This window comes from Homo sapiens, chromosome 6, assembly GCF_000001405.40.
Source record: "Homo sapiens chromosome 6, GRCh38.p14 Primary Assembly".
NCBI classification, from domain to species: Eukaryota; Metazoa; Chordata; class Mammalia; order Primates; family Hominidae; genus Homo; species Homo sapiens.
This window is the reverse complement of record NC_000006.12, coordinates 70,573,515-70,599,299: the sequence shown is the minus strand read 5'-3', so window position 1 is coordinate 70,599,299 and position 25,785 is coordinate 70,573,515. Positions and strand designations below refer to the sequence as shown.

At 41.5% G+C, this 25,785-nt stretch overlaps 1 protein-coding gene across 2 annotated transcripts in view; it reads right to left on the bottom strand.

Moving 5' to 3' along the window:
* Window positions 1-871: 871 nt before the first annotated feature.
* The window catches only part of SDHAF4 (succinate dehydrogenase complex assembly factor 4), a 31,499-nt gene continuing 6,585 nt past the window's right edge, over window positions 872-25,785 (bottom strand). The window contains exons 2-3 of one of the 2 annotated variants that reach the window (XM_047418210.1): window positions 19,734-19,886; window positions 872-1,218 (exon numbers count right to left, since the gene is read on the bottom strand). In XM_047418210.1, the coding sequence (XP_047274166.1) occupies window positions 1,100-1,218; window positions 19,734-19,886 (272 nt within the window). In that variant the 3' untranslated portion in view covers window positions 872-1,099. Of the gene's footprint in view, window positions 1,219-9,730; window positions 10,686-19,733; window positions 19,887-25,785 lie in introns of those variants that run through there. The other variant, NM_145267.3, reaches the window with a different exon arrangement.

Sequence of the window (25,785 nt, the reverse complement as noted above, 5' to 3'; positions counted from 1 at the left end):
TGGTGGTTGCACACACAACCACACACTATATAGGTTCCTGCCTATAGAGGTAAAACTAGCTCACATTATAGGCAACAGCTACCTTCTTCTCCAGCCAGTGCTGTAGTGGGGTGTGGTTCTGCTAGCTGTTCCAAAGATTCTTATTTAGTATCACCATTCCTACTTAAATCAGCTCAGCAGTTCTTGGAAATGTGGTTGGAGGACCCTCAGCTCTACCAAACTCTTCCAGTGGATCTGTGAGATCTTCCCTTTTCCAAGTACATAACTATGTGAAGCCAGCTTTTCTTCATCATACCTCAGTCAAAATACCACAGCAGATCGAATGCAGAAGACGCTATGAGAACACAGCTGCCTTCTATTAAGTTAGACCTTGAAGAGAATAAAACAATGCCACTCTTTGCAATTTCTTTTTTTTTGTTTTGGAGAAGTCATGATTCAAAACATTTCATTTTATGTTAACATGTAATAGGTTTGCTACCGGCTTATTTTTAATGAGTTAAGTATGTTAAATATTACTTAGCTTTAATTCCTAATACAGTAAGTGTGGATAGATATCGTACATAAAACAATGTTCTTTGGGGTCCTAAACAATTTAGGGACTTCAAAAGCTTCTAAGAGTAAAGGGTCCCAAAACCAAAAAGTTTAATCACCACCACAATAGATTATGTCGTCTTCATCTAAAAACCTTGCATAGAAACAGCTACATTTTTCTTTAATTTGCCACCTAGACTTGGCTGATTATAAGACAGAAGTTGCTTTAGAGACAATAGATATTTCCTCCATAAAGAGAAGAAGGGGGAGAGGGAGAAGCAGAAAGCAATATATGTTACTTTAGAACCAATGGTCAATAGGAGTATCGTGGAGAGGTATCTGTTTCTACAAATAAAAGATATTTTATTTTTCCTTTATTTTTATTTTTTTCAGACAGAGTCTCACTGTGTTGCCCACGCTGGAGTGCAGTGGCTCCACCTCAGCTCACTGCAACCTCTGCCTCCTGGGTTCAAGCAATTCTCCTGCTTCGGCCTCCCAAGTAGTTGGGGTTACAGGTGCCCGCCAGCATGCCTGGCTACTTTTTTTGTAGTTTTAGTAGAACAGGGTTTCACCATATTAGCCAGGCTGGTCTCAAACTCCTGACTTCAAGGGATCCACCCACCTCGGCCTTCCAAAATGCTGGGATTACAGTTATGAGCCACGACATCCGGCCTGCAAATGAAAGATCTTAAAGAAGACAGAACAAAGTGCCCACAGGACAATGAATTAATATTGAATACTTGTTAATCATAAATATTTCTTAATTTCACACATGCCCTCATATTCATTGTTAGTTCGATAATCTTTTGTAATTCATTTATAGCAACCAGTCTTCGGGAAGTTGACAGCAGCTTAGTTCCAGAGGTTGTGGCCACCAAAAATGCTCTTCTTGGACCAGGAAGGGCTTAAAAATTTTTATATAACCAGGAATCTTAGTTTTATCACTCTGCTCACTCCATATCTTCTTGATCAATGTCCATGGAGGCTTATATATGGCAAAGTCAGAACACATTTGATTATAAAATGAATATTTAATTAATAAATATCCCACAGAGCCTGTTTAGATTTTAAAAGCTGAAAATCCAGGTCTCTGAAGAGTCATCTAGTACCAAAAGTTCAGAAAGTGATAGTCTCATTAAACTTAGGAAGTTCCCTTTGGTTTGTTTGGCGTGAAGTATAGTCACCTGCCATCCTTTATAAAGTCTTCAGTCAGTTGTCTTCTGGAACTGTTTGCATGCACACATCAAAACACATCAGACTTTATGCTAAGATGGCAGGGGATCTGTTTCATTAATCACCAAATAGAAAGAGCCTAGCAGTGGCCTGATGCGGTGCCTCATGCCTGTAATCCCAGCATTTTGGGAGGCTGAAGCAGGCAGATCACTGGAGGTCAGACATTTGAGACCAGCCTGGCCAACATGGTGAAACCCTGTCTCTACTAAAAATACAAAAAAAAAAAAAAAAAAAAATTAGCCAGGCGTGGTGGCAGGTGCCTGTAATCTCAACTATTTGGGAGGCTGAGGCAGGAGAATCTTTTGAAACCAGAGGCAGAGGTTGCAGTGAGCCGAGATCACACTACTGCACTTCAGCCTGGGTGACAGAGCGAGGCTCACTCTCAAAAAACAAACAAACAAAAAACACCAAAACAGAGCCTCGCAGAATATCCAGCACGTAGTAGGCAATCACCACTGATTAAATAAATGAATCAATTCAGTGAATGAATGAACTCATTAGGCACTCTTCATTTTACTTTCCCTTCTAATTGATCAATCAGCACTCATTAATATCTCACTGCCATTCTTATCTTTTATTTAGAAAAATTACTGTCCTGTTCTGAAATTATCAAATTACTAATATACTATCATTAACAATTGCTATGACAAAGTTTTCTCACTGCAAACTATCCAATGAACATTTGTTATTTACTAGCAGAATGTGGCTTTATGCTTGCTCTTACAAGTTTAATAATAGGTAATATATATATTTTGACACATTGTAGATCTCAGCAACTGGGACCTAGTAGACATAATTCAATCTAACCAAACACTCATTATGTACAACACTCCATGGCATGAGCCTTGTACATAAAAGATCAACATACAAATTCCCAGAAATCCCTCAAGCGATATAAAAGTGTTTAAACTATGATTACACTAAAAAAATAACAAGCATTGTATGACATTTTCTGAAAAACTGTAGGTTGTTTTTAAAAAGTTATCCATGTTAATCTAGGTTCTCTACAAAACAGATGGCAAGATGGCATTAAGTCTGAAAGAGATTTATTAGAGGAGATATCTGTGAATTATGAAGGAGGGGAGTAGGTAGGGTTTGACACCTGTGAAGGAGAGAGTGAAGGAAAGGAGAATGGGGTAGGAAGAATCTCAGACAGTAGCATGTTTCTAAGAAAATTCTGGGCAATCTAATGGGAAATCCTTGAGCCAATGTTGCCCATCAGGGGACTGGGTCAGTGTTAATAGTCCTGCCATTCTCACTCATTGGCTGGGAACAGCAGGAATACAGTGGTAGATCCCATGGGGTAGCAGCTAGGGTTCTGTCAACTCTGCTTCTCACAGGAGGAGATCTGGGTGATGCATTTCCATGGCTACCGCATCATCTTTTGTAGGTACCAAATTGATAGTCTTCAAATTTTTCATGAATGTTTGATAGACATACAGACCACAAGTGTTTTCATGTCACCAAATTTTACCTATATATTTGATACTGTAATGAAACATGTTACTACTAACAGAGGTTAAGAGTTATCTTAATACAACACTTTGGTTGTTATATATTTTAGATTAGCTTTTGAAGTATATAAGTTGTCTTTTTTCTATTGCACATCATGATAGTTAGTGTAGAACACAAGCAAAACTATACAACGAAAATTTAACATACTATTTTTCTTTTTTTCTTTTCTTTTTTTTTTTTTTTTTGAGATAGAGTCTTGTTCTGTCGCCCAGGTTGGAGTGCAGTGGCGTGATCTCAGCTCACTGCAACCTCCGCCTCCCGGGTTCAAGCGATTCTCCTGCATCAGCCTCCCGAGTATGTGGGATTACGGGCGTGCGCCACCGCGCCCAGCTATTTGTCTCAAACTCCTGACCTCAGGTGATCCACCTGCCTCAGCCTCCCAAAGTGCTGGGATTACAGGCATGAGCCACCAAGTCCAGCCTAACATACTATTTTTTGAATGTTAACTTAGTAAAAAACTTTACTAACTTGGGCAGTTGGAGGTTGACTGAATTATAGAATATTTCTAAAGAAATGTAGTTATTACTTTGTAGCACACATAGTAATTGCAACTAGAAGAATGAATGTTGACTGAGAGAGAAAACTGATATAAGGACCAAATGACTAGTCCTAATTACACACTAGTTAATTTGTTTCTGGGATAATAATTCTTATTCTCTTAAATGAGTCTCCGTACAATCTTCTCAAGTAATATTGCACTTGTAATTCATATCACACAGTTATCAGCCTACTGGATTCTGTCTTCTATAGGTTTTGCAAAACCTTTCTTCCTAAGTAATTCAAGAGTAGCCTGGGAGCTGAAGGCCCAACCTCTGAGAGTGAGTGAGGCCAGAGGAGATGCAGCAAAGGATACCTTAGGGGAGCCCAGCAGTTCCTGTCCTTCCATTATTCCAGATCTGTACACTGGACTTGACTTTTCCTGACCCACTTATCAAAATGCCACAGGGTACGAGGTTTTGAGTCATCAAAACTGACTGAGCTAGTCCATTTTATCCTGTTTTTCTCATATTTACCCTCTATACCTACTGTCTTAGTCCATTTTCTGTTGCTTATAAAAGAATAGCTGAAACTAGGTAATTTATTAAAAAATGATTTTTTTTTTTTTTCTGAGATGGAGTTTCACTCTTTTCACCCAGGCTGGAGTGCAATGGTGTGATCTAGGCTCACTGCAACCTCCGCCTCCCGGGTTCAAGTGATTCTCCTGCTTCAGCCTCCCGAGTAGCTGGGATTACAGGTGTGCACCACCACATCTGGCTAATTTTGTATTTTTCATAGAGATGGGGTTCCACCATGTTGTTCAGGCTGGTCTTGAACTTCTGGCCTCAGGTGATATACCCGCCTTGGCCTCCCAAAGTGCTGGGATTATGGGCGTGAGCCATTGCACCCGGCTGAAAAATGGTATTTATTTCTTATGGTTCTGGAGGCTGGGAAGTCCAAGTTCAAGGATGACATGTGGGCCAAGTTCATGGGGTCTCGCTGGTGGAGACTAGACTCTCTATAGAGTCCTGAGGCATCACAGGGTATGAAAAGGTGAGGTGGCCAAATGTGCTAGCTCAGGTGTTTCTACTCTTATAAAGCCACTAATGCCTCACCCTTATGACCTCATTACATCCTAATTACCTCCCAGAGATCCTACCTGTCAAATAGCATAGTTGGATTTCCCATCTCATTAATACTGTTACAATGGGGATAAAGTTTAACACGAGTTTTGGAGGAGACAAACATTCAAACTATAGCATTCTGGCACTGGCACTGGCCTTCCAAAACTAATGTCCTTATCACATACAAATACATTTATTCTATCTTCATAGCCCCAAGGTCTTAACTTATTCCAGCAACAACTCAAAAGTCCAAAGTCTTATCTGTGATCCTGCGAAAACAATTTATCTACTTCCAAGATACAACGGTAGGACAGGCATAGGATACACATTTCCATTCCAAAAGGGAAAAATAGGAGAGCAAAATGGAGTAATCGGCCCCTAACAAGTCAGAAACCCAGCAGGGAAGACATTAAATCTTGAAGCTCAGCCAGGCGCAGTGTCTCACACCTGTAATTCCAGCACTTTGGGAGGCTGAGGTGGGAGGATCCCTTGAGGTCAGGAGTTCAAGACCAGCCTGGCCAACATGGTGAAACCCTGTCTCTATTAAAAATACAAAAAAAATTAGCCAGGCACGGTGGAAGGTGCCTGTAATTCCAGCTACTCAGGAGGCTGAGGCAGGAGAATCACTTGAACCCAGGAGCAGAGGTTGCAGTGAGCCAGGATCATGCCACTGCATTCCAGCCAGAGTGACAGAATGAAGAATGAGACTCCATCACACACACACACAAAAAAAAACCCTTGAAGCTGGAAAATAATCTCTTTTGACTCCATGCTGGCATCCTGTGAACACTGAGGTAGGGAGTGGGTCTCCAAAACATTGGGCAATCTCATGCCTATGGCTTTGCTTGCTGTAGTCCACATGGCTACTCTCACAGGTTGGAGTCAGGTGCCTGCAGCTTTTCCAGGCTGGTGTTGCATACTGGTAGCTCTACAGTTCTGAGGTCCCAGGGTGGTCCTGCCCCTGCGGCTCCAGAGTGCACTGCTCTGTTGGGAACTTTCTGCAGCAGCTCTGGTCCCACATTTCCACTCAGCATTGCCCTAGCAGAGGGGTTCTCTGCAGTGGTTGTGCCCTTGCAGTAAGTCTCTGCGTGGGCCCACAAGCTGTCTGATACATCCTTTGAAATCTAGGTGGAAGCTGCTATGCCTCACAGCTCTTGCTGTGTGCCTGCAGAATAAGCAGCATGTGCAGGTCGCCAAGGCTCACTGCTTGTGCCCTCTGGAGTGGGGGCATGAGCAGCATCTGAGACCACTTGCATCACTGGACAGTGCTGCCAAGATTTACAACTTGGACCTTTTGGAGTGGCAGGTCGAGCCACACTGGGGACCACCTGAGCTAGAGCTGCTTGAGCAGCCAGAATGCCCAGGAGTAGAGGTCCAAGGCAGCCCGGGGCAGCAAGCCCTTAGAGAGTGCCCTGGGCCTGTCCCTTTAAACCATTCTGCCATTTTAGGCCTCTGGGCCTGTGATGGGAGGGGCAGCTTCAAAGATTTCTGAAATGCCTTTGGGATCTTTCTCCCATTGTCCTGATGAATCTCTGGCTCCTTTCTAGCCATATTAATCTCTTTAGCAAACAGTGCCTTGGTCATACGCTTGGTTTCCTCTGCTGAAAAAACTCTTTCATTCTCTACCACATGTCTAGGCTTAGAATTTCCCAAATCTTTCTGCTTTGCTTCCCTTTTGATTATGATTTCTGTCTTTAAGTAACTTATTCCTTTTTGCAGTTCAATGTAAGTGGTTAAAAGTAGCCATGCAATAGCCTAAATGCTTTGCTGCTTAGATATTTCTTCCGTCAAATATTCTAATTCATCATTCTTAAGTTCAGCATTCCTTGGAATTGGTAGCTGGGAGTAGGGTGTTGCTATAAAACACCCAGCCTTGGGCCTGGACACAATCCAGCCAAATTCTTTGCCACTTTCTAAGAAAGGCTTTTACTCCAGTTTCCAACACTTTGATCTTCAGTTCCATCTGAAACCTCATCAGAATGGCCTTTACTGTCCATATTTCTATCAGCATTCTGGTCACGACCACTTAAGTAATCTCTAGGAAGTTCTAAACTTTCCCTAGTCTTCTTGTCTTCTAATCCCTAATCAGAATCTAGGCTTTTTCCACCCTGCTCCTCCAAACTCTTCCAATCTTTGCCCATTATCCAGTTCCCATGCGGCTTCCACATTTTCAGGTAACTTTATACCAACACCTCACTCCCAGTGCCAGTTTTCTTAGCCCAAGTTGCTATAACTAAATACCTGATACTGGGTAATTTTGAAAGAAAAGACGTTTATTTCTTATGGTTTTGGAGGCTAGAAAGTCCAAGGTCAAGGGGCACATCTGGCCAGGGCCTTGAAGCTAGTGAAAGCTCTCTGCAGAGTCCTGAGGCAGCGCAGGGCATCACATGGCAAGTTGGCTGAGTGGGCTCAGATGCTAACATGCCAGCTTAAGTCTCTCTTCCTCTTCTCATAAAGCACCAGCTCCACTTCCATGATAACCCATTTGTCCATTAACCCATAAATGAATTAATCTTCATGAGGGCTCTGCCCTCGTAAAGGCCAATCACCTCTTAAAGGTCCCACCTCTCACTACTGAGACATTGGGGATTAAGTTTCAACATAAGTTTTGGAGGCGACAAATTTTCCAACCATAGCACCTCTGTGAATTTTATGTTCCACAAACTAATGTATATACTTCAGTTCACTCATGTAAATAATCACTATTTTCAACTAATGACATTTTAAATGTTGTACTCATATAAAACAATTTCAAGTATTTCAAATTTCATTTTTAAAAATCTTTCCTCCCACTGGCCGGGCGCGGTGGCTCACACCTGGCCCAGCACTTTGGGAGGCTGAGGCGGGCAGATCACGAGATCAGGAGATCGAGACTATCCTGGCTAACACGATGAAACCCCGTCTCTACAAAAATACAAAAATTAGCTGGGCGTGGTGGCGAGTGCCTGTAGTCCCAGCTACTCGGGAGGGTGAGGCAGGAGAATCGCTTGAACCAGGGAGTCAGAGGTTGCAGTGAGTGGAGATTGTGCCACTGTAGTCCAGCCTGGGGACAGAGCAAAAAAAAAAAAAAAAAAAAAAAAAAAAATCTTTCCTCTCACAACGCCTAGAGACTTGGAAAAATACATTCATAATTTAAAGAGAGTTAACACTTACTGAGAAGTATGTACTATACTACACACTGCTCTAAGTGGCTAACATGTTGTGTTGGCTAATTTTATGTGTCAACTTGAGTAGGCCACAGGGTACCAGTTTAAACATTGTTTCTGGATGTGTCTGTAGGGGTGTTTCTGAATGAGATTAGCATTGGAACTGGTGAACTCAGTAGACTGTCCTTCCCAATGTATTCGGGCATTATCTAATACACTGAAGGCCTGAATAGGACAAAAGGTAGAGGGAAGAATTCACTCCTTTTTTCTTGCCTCACTGCTTGAGCTAGGACATCTCTTCTCATCTTCTTTGCCCTCAGACTGGATTTATATCATAATTCCCCTGCTTCTCAGGCCTTTGGACTCAGACTGATTCACACCACTGGCTTTTTTGGGTCTTCAGGTGTTCAGCTTGCAGATGGCATTATCATGGGACTTCTCAGCCTCTAGAACTGCATGAACCAATTCCACATAATCTCTCTCTCTCCTATTGAAGAGCCCTGACTAATACATGTTATTTATTCATTTAATCTTCTCAACTTCCCTGTGAAGTGAAAGTGAGACAGGAATAATATAGGGTGATCACAGAAGAGCAGAAAATTCCAGGCAGCAGTTTTACATGATTAGCAAAAAGGAAATTGTTGAAATGGCTGCATAACCTAGGGGCTGATAAGATCCTGAAAAACCAGGGTGTGAGTCAAGTTGGCTAAGACTGACTGGACCCAGCATGGCACTGGATATGACCTAGGTTTCACCTAGGACCTCATTATATGCTCATTAACATACTAAAGCACACACAGACAGTGCCATGACTATTCTGGGAACACCTGTATTTGGTGTAAAAGTTGGTGGCACCACAATTCCAAGAAATCTTCACCTTTTTCCAGGAATCTTCATGAATATTCCACCTCTTGGTTATAGAAACCCATAAAGGTAGAAGCCCTAAACTCCACTGAGTCACTCTCTCTTGAGTATGCCCACACTCCCCTTTCTTGAATGTGTGCTTTTCTTTTCTTTGCTTTTTATTTTTTTTTTTGAGACAGGGTCTTGCTCTGTCACCCAGGCTGGAGTGCAGTGGCACAATCTTGGCTCACTACAACCTCTGCCTCCCCGGTTCAAGTGATTCTCCTGCCTCAGCCTCCCAAGTAGCTGGGATTACAGGCCTGCACCACCACGCCCAGCTAGTTTTTGTATTTTTAGTAGAGACGGGGTTTTGCCATGTTGGCCAGGCTGGTCTCGAACTCCTGACCTCAAGTGATTGACCCGCCTTGGTCTCTCAAAGTGCTGGGATTACAGGCATCGAATATGTACTTTTTACTTTGCAATAAATCTCAGTACTTTCCCTATTTTCTGACTTGTCTTTGAATTTCTTCTCATGATGGTATCAAGAGCCTGGACATCAGCTGGAATTAAGGTCCCACCAGTGTTTGGGGACCTCCTGCAGCCCACCAGTATCAAAAGTATTATTATCTCCAACTTACACATAAGGATATTGAAGCACAGAGAAGTTAAATAAGTTATCCAAGGTCACATAGGTAGTAAGAAGTAGAGTCAGAATTTGAACCCAAGTGATTGGGTAATTAATTAAGTCACTGGCTCCAAGTTAAAGATTTTCTGTTATTATTGTGGCCTTCTCAAACTATAATGTATTATTTAACTCACATGTTAAAAGCCACTATCCCCTAGCACGCAGCAACACAATCATTTTTTAAAAATTATTTTATTTATGTATGCATTTTATAAGCAACTGATTAATTTAAACTGAAAAATGATGAAGTAAAGGCCTACAGCTCTAAGAATCATTTCTAGGCTGGGCGTGGTGGCTCACACCTGCAATCCCAGCACTTTGGGAGGCTGAGGCAGGTGGATCAACTGAGGTCAGGAGTTCGAGACCAGCCTGGCTAACATGGTGAAACCTTGTCTTTACTAAAAATACAAAAATTAGCCAGGCGCAATGGTGGGTGTCTGTAATCCCAGCTACTCAGGAGGCTGAGGCAGGAGAATTGCTTGAACCTGGCGGGGCGGAAGTTGCAGTGAGTTGGGATAGTGCCACTCCACTCCAGCCTGGGTGAGAGAGAGAGACTCTGTCTCAAAAAAACAAGAATCATTTCTATACTCATTAAATTAATATATGTTAATGAAAAAATATTTTCCCTTTCCTATCTTTTTTTTTGAGACGGAGTTTCGCTCTTGTTGCCCAGGCTGGAGTGCAATGGCGCGACCTCAGCTCACCGCAACCTCCACCTCCTGGGTTTAAGCCATTCTCCTGCCTCAGCCTCCAGAGTAGTTGGGATTACAGGTGCATGCCACCACGCCTGGCTAATTTTGTATTTTTAGTAAAGGCGAGATTTCTCCATATTGGTCAGGCTGGTCTCCCTTTCCTAATTTACAGCAGCATATTTTCTTCCAAAGCCATCATATATATATATATTTAAACACATTATACAAACTACACGACATAAAGGATATAAAGAAAGAAAATAATCAGAAATAAGTTAATTCAGATGTACATATTCAGAAAACAATATTGAAGTTAAAGAATATGCGACTTAAAAATCAATACAGCGTCCTTTTCGTTCCCAATCTCCATATCGGGTAGGTTCTGGGCCCCTGGGTCCACCTTTTTCTTTGGTCACTGGATTAACATCATCTGGAAATTCTAAGGAAAACGAGATATAAATAAAGCAGTTAATGGAGGCAGGAAAGGCCTTATAGTCAATTTAATTCAATTAATTTATTTATTTATTATTTTTTGAGACAGAGTCTCCCTCTGTTGCCCAGGCTGGATTGCAGTGGCGTGATCTGGGCTCACTGCAACCTCTGCCTTCTGGGTTCAAGTGATTTTCCTGCCTCAGCCTCCTGAGTAGCTGGGATTACACGCACATGCCACCACGCCCAACTAATTTTTGTATTTTTAGTAGAGAAGGGGTTTCACCATGTTGGCCAGGATGGCTCAAACTCCTGACCTCAAGTGTTCTGCCTGCCTCGGCCTCCCAAAGTGCTGGGATTACAGGCGTGAGCCGCCGAGACCAGCCTATGGTCAATTTTAAAGACAGCGTTGCTGATAGGCTAGATCTTACCAACCTGGTTACCATGCAGTCTTTAAAAGAACTGTAAATGTGATTCTTTTTCCTGAGTTTGAGAAGAGAATACAGAGTACAAATTCATAAGACTTGAAAGGTCTTGAAATAAGATTACTTTGAAGGAGTCACTTTGACTTAATGCCACAGTTTTCTGACCAGTAAAATGGAGAGAACAATCATACTTCTCTCACTGTGTTGTTAATTAAACAAGGTAATACATGTAAAGGGTTTAGCGTGGTGCCAGGTACATAGGAATGTCAATTAATCTTAGCTAGAGAATTACTGTTCCTCATCATAGGGTTTTGGCTTCAGCAACTGGTTGGCTGGTACTGCCATTTATAATCATAATAGTAATTATTATTCTTAGTACTATGTGTTCATAGTAGGAATCCCCATCACAAGCCAGGCTCAATTCTCAGCACTTTATGTATGCTAATCCATTTACTCTTCCTAACAATCCTATGGGACAAGAACAATTATTGTTCCAACTTTATAGATGAAGAAAATGAGCCACAAAGGGTTAAGAAAGTTGCTCCGTATCACATAGCTTCTAAGTGATAAAACTGAGTTCAAATTCAGACATCCTGGCTGCAGTCTTGTTCTCAGCCCATACACTGCACTGCTCTGTATATGGAAAAAACAGGAGAGGAACCAACTATTAGACAGAGCGCTAATTCTTTGTTTTGTTTTGTTTTTTAAGATGGAGCCTAGCTCTGTTGCCCTGCTGGAGTAGTGGAGTGGCGTGATCTCAGCTCACTGCAGCCTCAGCCTCCTGGGTTCAAGCAATTCTCCTGCCTCAGCCTCCCAAGTAGCTGGGACTACAGGCGCACACCACTATGTGCCTGGCTAATAATTGTACTTTTAGTAGAGATGGGGTTTCACTATGTTGGCCAGGCTGGTCTCAAACTCCTGACCCCAAATGATCCACCCACCTTGGCCTCCCAAAGTGCTGGGATTACAGGCGTGAGCCACTGCACCTGACCCCTAATTCTTGTGTGTGTGTGTGTGTGTGTGTGTGTGTGATGGAGTTTCACTCTTATTGCCCAGGCTGGAGTGCAATGGCATGATCTCGGCTCACTGCAACCTCCGCCTCCAGGGTTCAAGTGATTCTCCTGCCTCAGCCTCTCGAGTAGCTGGGATTACAGGTGTGCACCACCATGCCCAGCTAATTTTTTGTATTTTTAGTAGAGATGGGGGTTTTACTTTGTTGACCAGGCTGGTCTTGAACTCCTGACCTCAGGTGATCCACCCGCCTCAGCCTCCCAAAGTGCTGGGGTTACAGGCGTGAGCCACTGTGCCCGGCCGCCTGGCCCCTAATTCTTAAACTGTATCTATTTATTTATTGTGGCCACTCTCCCAATACTTCCCATTCCTTCCCACATTTACATTATCTTCAGCAATTATCAGTAATTTAGTATATTTTTAAAATTTACTTGGATTATTGTCTGTCTCTCCCACTAAAATGTTAAGCTTCATTATGGTATAATTTTTTTGTGTGTTTTATCCATTGCTGTTTCAGTGTTTGGCTCACAGAGGATACTTAATACGTATCATATGAATGAATGAAGAGATTTATTCTCATCCTCATGGCCATCCTGTGGGCAGACAGTTTCATTCATTTATTCCACTATTACTCTGCCAGGCCCTATGCTATGTAAAGGTGGGGTGAGGGACACAGTAGTGACCATGCAATAGAAGGCCCCTTCCCTCACAGGGCTCACAGAGTACTGAAGTAGGCCAAAAAAAAAAAAAAAAAAAAAAAGGCAAACAAATACATACAAGAATAACAAACTCTGGCAAGGCTTGAAAGGGAAAGTGCAAAGTGCCCTATCATCTCAGTTTCTTCTCATAAGCGCATTCTAAGGCAGGTGTTAGGAGGAAACTGAAACCCAGAGAGTAGAAGCCTCTGAGAGCTCCAGTTCAAACCCAGATTTGCTTTATCCAAACCCCATGGTTACTTAGGTCTCTCTTACATTCAATCCCTAGAGAAGTCAGTTATACTCCTGAGACACAGACCAAAAGGCAACTAGACTTTTGGGGGCATGGGTGTCACATTCCCTCAAGGTGGGTATTCTCTGCTGAGGTCATCATCGTAGCTACTTACAGATGTTAAAACCTGTTCTACTGAGGAAGCACATTGCTTGGACTCTGGGAGAAGGTGTAGGGGCCAAGGAAAAACATCCTCCTTGCCCTCTAAAGGTTTGCCAAAAATCAACTGACAAAAGACAGATTAACAGAAGAAAAGGCATACGGCTTTTATTTTATCCTGCATAGCACGGGGAAACTGCAGGAGAATGATTACCCAAACTATATCTCTTTAGAAAACTAAATGATCTTCACCAAAATCATAAAGCCCCTCAGGCAAAAGAAAAAGGATACAGAATTTACCGTGAAAATTTTTCAAATATTCATTCTTTTATTCTTGTTATATTGTGAATAAACTCTCCCCCATACTCATCAGCATTCTGTTTTCAAAATAATTCCATGCTTTACTGCAATGCAAGTTGGCTTTTTCCTACTCCACGAATTCCCTTGAAGGCCTCTCTAACGGAAGTTCTTCTTTCTCACATATCTCTGTGGCTCACTGGATGTCTTAGCTTGAGCTGCCATAACAAAATACCATAGACTAGGTGGAGTAAACAGCAGAAACTTATTTTCTTACAGCTCTGGAGGCTGGTAGGCTGAAATCAGGGTGGTAGCATGGTTGGTTCTCATGAGGGCTTTCTTCCTGGCTTACAGATGGTCGCTTCTTGCTGTGTCCTCACATGGCAGAGAAAGAGAGACAGCAAGCTCTCTGGTATCTCTTCTTATAAGGGCATTATTCCCACCATGAGGAGATTCCCATCAGCTTTATTAAAGTATTGTCTGCTTATAATAAAATTCACCCATTTTAAGTACGCAGTTCAGTGAGTTTTAACAAATGTTGACAGTCATGTAAATAACACAAAGTGTAAAACAGTTCCATCTCTTAAAGAGTTACCTTACTCTCATGATCTAAACCTAATTATCTCCCAAAGGCCCCATCTCCAAATACCATCACCTGGGGGGTTAGAGCTCCAACAGATGAATTTTGGGGGAACATAATTCAGTCCACAGCACTGGGGAAGAAAGAACAGGTCAAGATGTCCCTGCTCCTCACTGCTATTTCCAGCCTCTCATTCTAATGCCACACCTCTATAGCCTTTCCTTTTTGGAATTCTATACCATTTACTTATCCAGTGCTTTTCTCTAGTCTTATAATAAACTCCAAGATTCTTCTGTCTTCTTGCATGGGATCAATATCTGGTTCATAGTTTCATCTCTCTCTCCCCATCATCCCTAATATCAACATCCACATTAGTAAATCATCACACATCGAGGCCACAAAGGTCACCAATCTCTTTCCTGATGACTTTCGTATCTACTTCTGCTGTCCACTGGACTTTATTATTTTTTGAGTATGTTCCTCCTCCAAATCCCACACTCTTTTGAGCACTCTTCTTTCTGACCACACCCTCGTATCTTTCCATGTCTCTTCTTCCTCACATTTGTTAACCTAATTTTTGCCCTTATAATAGCCTGCAGTTTTCTGAAACTTTTTGTTCTCACCATTACCACCCTGGTTCCTGCTCTCAGTGTCCCATTTTAGAACTAATACAACAGAATCCCTCTTCCACATTATACTATGTGAAAGGAACCAGACACCAAAGACTACATACTGTAGAGTTTCATTTATATAAAATCCTAGAAAAAGCAAAACTACAGTGATAGAGAACAGATCAATGGTTGCTGGGAGGAGGTGGGGAGAGGATGAACTGCCTTGTACCTCTTTAGGGGACAGAACTATTTTACACTTTGTGTGGTTTCCATGGCTGTAAACATTTGTTAAAACTCACTAGCCAGGCGTGGTGGCTCATGCCTGTAACCCCAGCACTGTGGGAGGCCGAGGCGAGCGGATCACGAGGTCAGCAGTTCGAGACCAGCCTGGCTAACATGGTGAAACCCCATCTCTACTAAAAATACAAAAATTAACCGGGTGTGGTGGCAGGTGCCTGTAATCCCAGGGAGGCTGAGGAAGGAGACTCGCTTGAACCCGAGGCAGAGGTTGCAGTGAGCCGAGATCATACCACTGCAAGCCAGCCTGGGCAACAGAGCAAGACTCCGTCTCAAACAACAACAACAACAACAACAACAACAACCTCACTCAACTGTATATTTAACATGGGTGAATTTTATCATATGCAGACTATATTTAATAAAGCTAATTAAAACAACCTCTATCCAAATACATTTCCTCACTGCTCACTGCATAAAGCCCTTACACTGTAACCTGGGATTTCAGGCCCTCCCAGATTTGAGCTGAACCTGTGTGTCTAGCTTTATATTCAATTAATCCAAGCCTGTCTAACCCACAGTCCACGGGCTGCATGTGGCCCAGGATGGCTTTGAATGTGGCCCAACACAAATTCATAAACTTTCTTAAAACATTGAGTTTTTTTGTGTGATTTTTGTTTTGTTTTGTTTTTGTTTTTGTTTAGCTCATCAGCTGTTGTTAGTGTATTTTATGTGTGGCCTAAGACAATTCTTCCTCCAATGTGACCCAGGGAAGCCAAGAGATTGGACAACCCTGTATTAATCAAATATATATATAATTTATGCTGAAGCCAAAGAGGCCCATTAGCTGTGTCTTGTAAGTGTTAATGTTCTGCAGCCTCTTTCTCTTTGACCATAGCTTTCTCCAGGTATTTTGAAATGTCTCCTCACCACACCTTATCTACTTATAAAAATTTTACTTTTCCGGCCAGGCATGGTGGCTCACACCTGTAACCTCAGCACTTTGGAAGGCCAAGGCAGGTGGATCACCTGAGGTCAGGAGTTCGAGACCAGCCTGACCAACATGGTGAAACCCCGTTTCTACTAAAAATACAAAAATTAGCCAGGTGTGGTGCCAGACGCCTGTAATCCCAGCTACTCAGGAGGCTGAGGCAGGAGAATCGCTTGAACCCGGGAGGCGGAGGTTGCGGTGAGCTGAAATTGCGCCATTGTCCTCCAGCCTGGGTGACAGAGCGAGACTCCAACTCAAAAAAACAAAAAATTATTTTTCCTTAGACCCCAGCTCAAACGTTATCTCTTTTGTCGACTTTCCTCTGATCTTTTTGTGTATCTCTCATGCTAGTTACCACATGATGTCCTGTTCATCGTTATTTACATTATCTCATCTTCCTTTCTTATTCATCTTTATGTCAAGCAGGGTGCCTAGCTACAAACATTTTCCTTTATGATCTTAATAATGAAATCTACTCTTTTCAAGGAGACAACCTACACAGTTTTCTTAGAATAAAGTACATACTAGAGGCAGGGAGACAAGACTAGAAGGAAGGAAACGAGGAAGCAGAGAGGCTTGTTAGGTGACCAGTGGAGCTAGAGACAGCTTGAATTTGGGCCCTACTGGTAGGATGAGTAAGAGGGAATAAATTTGAGAGATGTTAAAAGGGTAGAAGCAACAGGACTTGGTTAGTGATCAGTCACAGGAGACAGGAAGAGGCAGGAGTGAAAGATTATCCCCAGATTTCGGGCTTGGGTGACTTGGTAGATGGGGTGGACTGGAAATCCCGAAGGAAGAGGAGGATATGAGATCAGGCAGGTGGGAGGGCCGAAGGTGAGTTGGAACAATGGGTACACGATGACTTTAGTTTTAGAAATATTAATTTTGAGACTTCTGGAATGTGCAAAGAAAGATACTCAGGAGGCAAATGGAGACAGGAGAGTGATGCTCAGGAACGAGGTCTGATTAGAGGTATAAATGTATGAATCACCAACACATAGGTGATATTTAAAATCATTTTAAGCCGGGCGTGGTGGCTCATGCCTGTAATCTCAGCATTTTGGGAGGCTGAGGTGGGAAGATCGTTTGAGCCCAGGAGTTCAAGACCAGCCTGGGCAACATACTGAGCTCTATCTCTTAAAGAAACAAATAGAAAAATTAGCCAGGTGTGGTGGTGCGTGCCTGTAGCCCCAGTTACAGGAGAGGCTGAGTAGGGAACCCCAGGAGGTTGAGGGTGCAGTGAGCTGTGATGGCGCCACTGCACTTCAGCCTGGGTGACAGAGTGAGACTCTGCCTCAATCAATCAAATAAATCTAATCATTTTAGGGAAATATGAAATCTCCCTTGGAATACTTAGGGGGCTAAGAACAGAGGCCTGGCAAATACCCACATTTAGGTGTTGGGCGGAGGCAGAGGAGCTCAAAAAGGAGCCCAGGAAGAAACTGGTGAAGAAATAGGGTGAGAAACTAAAGAAAGCATGCCAGGAATGGTGGCTCATACTTGTAATCCCAGCACTTTGGGAGGCCGAGGCAGAAGGACTGCTTGAGCCCAGGAGTTGAGGCCAGCCTGGGTAACATGGCAAGACCTCATCTCTACAAAAAAATTTTTTAAATTAGGTGAGCATGGTGGTATGTGCCTGTGGTCTCACTTACTCAGGAGACTGAGGCAGGAGGACAGTTTGAGCTGGGAAGGTTAAGGCTGCAGTGAGCCATGTGTTCATGCCACTGCACTTTAGCCTGGGCAACAGAGCAAGACCCTGTCTCAACAAAACAAAACAAAACAACACACACACACATACATACACACACAAAAATGAAACTAATGAAAGCATAATGGAAATCAAGGCAGGAGATTTCCAGAAGCAATAGTTAACACTGTCAAAGGTTGTGGATTGTTCAAATAAAACAAGGATTGAAGAGTACCTGCTGTATTTGGTGATGTTTGTCAGAAATTTCTAAGGGATGGTAGGTTCAACATAAACTTGAGTGATACAAGACTTACGTTGAATGCCTACCATTATGTCAAATAGATGATTAGCTTTTGAAAAGTGCAGGTTTTTGCTTTCTTTTTTTTTTACTGTGGTAAAATATATATAACATAATATTTCTCATTTAACCATTTGTAAGTGTACAATTTGGTAGTATTAAATACATTCACTGCCAGACACAGTGGCTCACGCCTGTAATCCCAGCACTTTGGGAGGCCGAGGGGGGTTGGTCACTTGAGGTCAGGAGTTCAAGACCAGCCTGGCCAACATGGTGAAACCCCCATCTCTACTAAAAATACAACAATGAGCCAGTGTGGTGGTGTGCCTGTAATCCCAGCTACTCGGGAGGCTGAGACAGGAGTATTACATGAACCTGGGAGGCGGAGGTTGCAGTGAGCCGAGAGTGTGCCACTGCACTCCAGCCTAGGTGAAAGAGTGAGACTCCATTTCAAAAACAAAAACAACAACAAAAATATATTCACAAGGTTGTACAACCATCACCACTATCTATACCTAAAACATTTTCATCATCCCCACAATGAACTCTGTACCCACTAAACAATGACTTCTCCCTTAGTCCCCGGAGTCCCTGATAGCCTCTATTCTACTTTCTGTCTCTATGAATTTGCCTATTCTAGGTACCTTATATAAGTGGAATCATATATTTGCCCTTCTGGGTCCAGCTTATTTCACTAAACATAATGTTTTCAAGGTCCATCCATGTTGTAGCATATATTAAAATTTAATTGCTTTTTATGACTGAATAGTTTTCCACCGGATGTATATGCCACATTTTGTTTAATGATTCATTTGTTTGTGAACATTGGGTTGTTTCCACCTTTTGGCTACTGTTAATAATACTATGAACATAGTTACAGAGATATCTGTTCAAGTCCCTGCTTTCAATTCCTTTAGATACACACCTAAGAGTGGAACTGCTGGGTCAAACGGTAGTTCTAAGTTTGATTTTTTGAGGAACGGCCATACTGTTTTCCACAGTGGCTGCAACATTTTACATTCCCAGCAGAAATGCCTGAGGGTTTCAATTTCTCCACATCCTTCCCAACACTTGTTATTTTCCATTTTTTTCTATTATAGCCATCCTAGTGGGTATGAAGTAGTATCTCATAGTTTTGATTTGCATTTCCCTAATGATAATGATGCTGATGCTGAGCATCTTTTCATGTGTTTGTTGGCCATTTGTACATTTGTATACCTTCTCTGGAGAAATGTCTACTCAAATACTTTGCTATTTTTTATTTTTATTTTTTGTAGATTACTGGAGTTCTACACACACACACACATACATATAATATACACATATATTTGTTATTTATTTATCATACCTCATTATTCATATAGCAAAATATATAAGTTAAGACTCAAGTGCTTTGCTATTTTTGACTTTTCGTTGAGTTATTGGAGTCCTTTATATATAATATGTGTACATTACATATATAAAGTGGTTATATTTATTATACCTCATTATTCACATAAGATCTTTGATACAAATAACATAACCTTCTTTGATACAAATAACATCATTTATTTGTAACAAAGAAGGTCTCAACTTATATATTTTGTTATGTGAATAATGAGGTATAACAAATAAAACAAACACAATCAAATACCTGTCAGAATCTTGAAAATCTTTTTTATTAAGAAATCTACATGTATCGATGGTCAATATGGTGATTTTACTCATTGTTGAAATATGCTTTATTACTACAGAATTTAAGCAATAACAAATTTCTTTCCTTTCACTCATTTTCTCAATAACTAAAACACTTTCCTTGATACTTCAAAAACTGAGAGGTGCTTTATTATACTTACTTTCCAGTGGTTCTTTCTCTAAATGGGAATCCTCTGGTGCATCAAAACGACCTTCTGGTAACTTCGGCTTCTTAAGGGACTGTTTGACAAGTTCAGACTTTCCTCCTTGAGAAGAACTTGTTTTCCTCAGAGAATGACACAGAAGGGGTGATCCTAGAAGAGTGGAGATAATAGAAAAATAGGAGCTGTTCATTTATTCCACTTTAAACATTTATAAAATTTTATTTATTTGTTTTTAGTTTATACATTCACATTTCTCAAAGTTCAAAAAGTACAAAAGGACGCAGAGTGAAAATTCTTCCTTCCTCTCCAGCCATTTCCCTTCCTGGAAGACCACCAGTTTGAAAAGAAGGGCTATGAAATAAATTAGTTAATTGTTATCAATATTGCAGAAACTTATATTAAAACATTAATTCCTATCTGAAGCAATGCCAAAAAACCAGGAGTTCAAATATTAAGAGTAACTTAGTAGTACAAACTTTTCAATGACAATATTTAGTATTCAAATCTCTAAAAGTCAGAAGTGGCTACATTTAAATCCTAATCAAGGTCCTCTTTTCCTGTCAACTAATTTAAGAATACATCAAGTTGGGCATGGTGGCATGCACCCGTAGTCTCAGTTATGCAGGAGGCTGAAGAGGGAGGATTCCTTGAGCCCAGGAGCTCAATTCTAGTCTGGGTAACATAGTGAGACCATGTCTCTAAAAAAAGATTGTTTTATGGGGAAAGAAGTCCCTATTTGATAAATGGTGCTGGGATAGTTGGCAGCTATGTGCAGAACAATGAAACTGGACCCCTATTTGTCACCACATACAAAAATTAACTCGAGATGGATTAAAGATTTAAATGTAAGACCTCAAACTGTAAGAATCCTAGAAGAAAACCTCGGAAACACTCTTCTGGACATTGGTCTTGGGAAATAATTTATGACTAAGTCCTCAAAAGCAACTGCAACAACAACAACAACAACAAATTGACAAATGGGACTTAATTAAACTAAAAAGCTTTTGTAGAGCAAAAGAAACGCTCAACAGAGTAAACATACAACCTACAGGATGGGAGAAAATATTTGCAAACTACACATCTGAGAAAAGTCTCATATCCAGAATCTATAAGGAACTTAAACAACTCAACAAGCAAACAACAACCGCACTAAAAAATGGACAACAGACATGAAGAGACACTTCTCAAAAGAAGACATATAAGCGGCCAACAAACATATTAAAAAATGCTCCACATCACGAATTGGTAGATAAATGCAAATTAAACTCATAATGAGAGACCATGTCACATCAGTCAGAATGGCTATTATTAAAAAGTTAAAAAACAACAGATGCTGGTGAGGCTGTAGAGAAGAGGGAATGCGTATACACTGCTAGTGGGAATGTATCTTAGTTCAGCCACTGTGGAAAACAGTTTGGAGATTTCTCAAAGTACTTAAAACAGAACTATCATTTGACCCAGCAATCCTGTTACTGGTATATACCCAAAAGAAAACTACTCATTTTTCACACCAGAAAGACACATGCGCTTGCATGTTCACTGCAGCACTATTCACAATAGCAAAGACATGGAATCAACCTAGGTGCTCATCAATGGTGGACTGGATAAAGAAAATGTGGTACATATATACCATGGAATACTATGCAACCATAAAAATAATGAAATCATGTCCTTTGCTGCAACATGGATGCAGCTGGAGGCCATTATTCTAAGTGAACTAATGCAGGAACAGAAAACCAAATATTGCATATTCTCACATATAATTTTCTAATTCTATAGAGTGAAACACTGGATACTCAAGAACATAAAGAAGGCAACAATACAAACTGGGTACGACTGTCAGGGAGGGAAGAAGGGGATGCAAGGGTTGAAAAACTAACTTTTAGGTACTATGCTCATTACCTGGGTGATGGGATTATTCGTATCCCAAATCTCAGCATCACACATATACCCAGGTAACAAACCTGCACGTGTACTCCCTGAATCTAAAATAAAACTTCGGATTTTAAAATGTACTGGGTGTCTGCAATGCGTAAATGACATCATTTTCTCTCTAGTTTCTAAAAAGAGTTGAACTTTCTATGCTATAAAAGTTATCCAAACCCTCATTGAGATAATATTCAGCAAGGGCAAAACCACAGGGAAAAAAGTGATCTCAGCGTTAGGGGTTTCCAGCTTCCTAAAGAAATTGCTTTTAGAAGCAGATCAATTTGAGTACAAGTTCTAGCTACACCTCTGTAGCAAACAGAATAATGGCCTCAAAGATAATCAGAATCCAATACCCAGAATCTGTGAATAGGTTTGGTTACACGGTGAAGAATTTTGGTAGCAGACAGAATTAAGGTGGCTAATCAGATGACCTTAAAATAGGGAGGTTATCCAGGATTATGGGGTGGGTCAATGTAACCACAAGGGTCCTTTGAAAGGGAAGACAGGGTTGGAAGACAGACCAGACCCGATGTTGCTGGCTTTGAAGATGGAGGAAGGGGGCAAGCCAAGGAATGTGGGCAGCCTCTAGAAGCTAAAAGAGAGAAGGAAATGTATGTGGCCTCCAGAAGGAACACAGCCCTGCTAACTCCCTGGTTCTAGCTCAGTGAGACCCCTTCCAGACTCCTGACCTCCAAACCTGTAAAATGTGTTAAGCCACCAAATTTGTGGTAATATGTTACAGCAGCAATAGGAAACAAATGCAACCACTTACTAGGTGTTGGATGTTGGTCAAGTTACCCTTTTTGTTTCCTTCCCTGTAAACAGAAAAATTACAGTACCTGTCACATGAGATTGCTGAGTAAACGGGACAATTTATGCCTTTAGGATAGTGATAAACAGTATTTATTTTTAGTTTGATGGAATTATCTGTAAGCTTTTGACAGCATTACATATTAGAATGTTTTTTCATTACACATATTTTTCTCATATTCTAGTCATCACTACATAACCCTACCTTGTTTAAAGAAATAGACACAAACACATATGCATACAAGTGGTTAAGATAAATATGTGTATATCTGTGTATGTGTACACATTGAGCAAGTGCATCAATAACTTGAGCCTAACTCTGGGATGTATAAGTTAATTTGTGTAAGGGTTTCTGGTGAAGAACAGAAAACTGTGTCTTGGGGAAAGCGAGGAGGAGCAAAGTGTAAGTTGGAGAAACTGGTCCCTAATATGACCTTGCAGACTTCTGAAGGACTTTATCTGTAGAAAGAGGGTTTACAAGGAAAAGTTGAAAGACCAGTTTTCTCAAGGGACTCTGAGGCCGTTGGAAACATAAACAGAACTATTTTTGTAGTCAGGTAACAGTGTGACAGAACACGGGGGAAGATAATGCCCCTCATTTCTGTACAGTACAAGGTAAGATGGGACACTGTGCTCCTTGGCACCTGCAGGCTTTACAGCTTTCGACACAAGTGTGTGCACATCAGCCTGCCAGGGGTGTTGGTAGTGAAGCACATACAAGTAGCTTCAAAGGCAGAGCAAAAGAAACAAGGGCGTGTCAGATGAGGAGCTAAGCCCAAGGACCACTCCTGTTAATTCTGCCTATTAAACAGTAGGTGTTGAGCAATAGTAACTGTATTCATGTTAGGATTACATTTTGGCTATCAGCAGACTTTTGACTACCTCGACTACACGGGAAATAGCTGACAAACTTAAAACAAAAGCCTCTTTTAACAACATCATGAAATAACAACCATAAAGCCCATCTCTTCTACTTCAAGGGGTGGTTTGACTTTATCCAAACCTATTTAGAATTGTGTTTACATGGACATAATAGACAAGAAGAAAACCTTCTAAAAGAAGAAATAATAAAAGCAAAAGAATGACTCTCTCTCTCTCACACACACACACACACATATACAAAAACAACACACAACTCAAAACTTTTGTTTCTGGTAATTTGATAAATCAGAAATGCCAAAACTCTACAGCTATAAAACACCTAAAAAGGTAAAACAAAATCAAACATCTTCTAAATCAGAGATAGAACCTTTACGAAAGTAAATAATGATAAACTGAAGACAGTCCAGTGAGGTGAACACAAAGTGAAATGGCTACACTTATTGCGTCTTTTTTTTTTTTTTTGAACAGAGACAAAAAAAAATTAGCCACCACACACAGCTAAGTTTTTGTATTTTCAGTAGACACGGGATTTCACCATGTTGACCAGGAGGGTCCTTTTTTTTTTCAGACAGAGTCTCACTCTGTCCCCCAGGCTGGAGTGCAGTGGCACGATCTCAGCTCATCGCAACCTCCACTTCCAGGGTTCAAGTGATTCTTGTGCCTCAGCCTCCCGAGTAGATGGGATTACAGGCACCCACCAATACGCTGAGCTAATTTTTGTATTTTTAATAGAGATAGGGTTTCGCCATGTTGGCCAGGCTTGTATCGAACTCCTGACCTCAAGTGATCTGCCTGCTTTGGTCTCCCAAAGTATTGCGATTACAGGCATAAGCCATGGTGCAAAGCCTTCTTGTGTCTTTCTTGCCTAGATCGTAGGATACAGAGCTTTCAGGACAGCAGGGAGATGACAGTCTCTTAAACTCAAGCTAAACAGAAAGCGCAGGAGAAGCCAGGACTCAGGGAGGCTCACATACTGAGAAAAGAAAGTGAACTGGAAGATTTTTGTTGTTTTTTGAAACAAGGGTCTTGCTCTGTTGCCCAGTCTTGAGTGTAGTGGCAGAATCATGGCTCACAGTAGTCTTGATCTCCTGGACTCAAACCATCTTCCTGCCTCAGCCTCCTCAGCAGCTGGGACTACAGCCACACAACACCATGCCCAGCTAATTTTATTTTTTGTAGAGATGGGGGTCTCACTATGTTGCCCAGGCTGGTCTTAAACTCCTGAACTCAAGTGATCCTCTTGCCTCCCAAAGTGCTGGGATTATGGGTGTGAGCCACCGCACCCAGCTGAAAGATTTAAAACATAGATAAAAACCACCTGGGGGATTTTGTTAAAATGCAGATTCTGAGTAGTTCTAGGTGGGACTTGTGATTCTTGCATTTTTAACAAGCTCCCAGGTGATGCTTATGATGCTGTTCCAAATAGCAAGGAACTAGAAGAAAGACAGTTAAGGAAGAAAAAGTATCTACTTTAACCTTGGTTCTGAGTGAAGATGTGAAAAAAAGAAGCCCCTCTGAGATTCTGAAGCCACTGACTGACCCACACCCGTGTTTAGGCCTAACTACACACTAGCTGCATCTTCCAAAAATCCCTAAGCATCTTTTTTTTTTTTCTTTTTTTTTGAGATGGAGGCTTGCTCTGTCACCCAGGCTGGAGTGCAGTGGTGTGATCTCAGCTCACTGCAACCTCCACCTCCCGGGATCAAGCGATTCTCCTGCCTCAGCCTCCCAATAGCTGGGATTACAGGCATGTGCCACCATGCCCAGTTAATTTTTGTATTTTTAGTAGAGATGGGGTTTCACCATGTAGGCCAGGCTGGTCTTGAACACCTGACCTCAGGTGACCCACCCGCCTTGGCCTCCCAAAGTGCTGGGATTACAGGCATGAGCCACCGTGCCCAGCCAGCCTAATCATTTTTCATCATCTCTTTTTGCTTAATTACTTTTGGCTTTGCAAGTTTTTTTTAGGCTGGGCACAGTGGCTCACACCTATAATTCCAGCACTTTGGGAGGCCAAATTAGGAAGATTACTTGAGGTCAGGAGTTCCAGACCAGCCTAGCCAATAAGGTGGAACCCCATCTCTACCAAAAATACAAAAAATTAGCTGGGCGTGGTGGTGGGCACCTGTAATCCCAGCTACTTGGGAGGCTGAGGCAAGACAATCGCTTGAACCAGGGCAGCAGAGGTTGCAGTGAGTGAGATCACGCCACTACACTCCAGCCAGGGCAACAGAGCAAGACTCTGTATAAAAAATAAAAAAAAAATAAAAAAAAGAAAAGAAAAGAAAAGAAAAAGAAAAATTAGGCCAAAAAAAAGAAAGAAAAACACGGAAATTCAGAAATAACAAACCTAAAACTCAATAAAAAGGCCAAATAGCTGGCCGGGCATTGTGGCTCACACCTGTAATCCTAGCAATTTGGGAGGCTG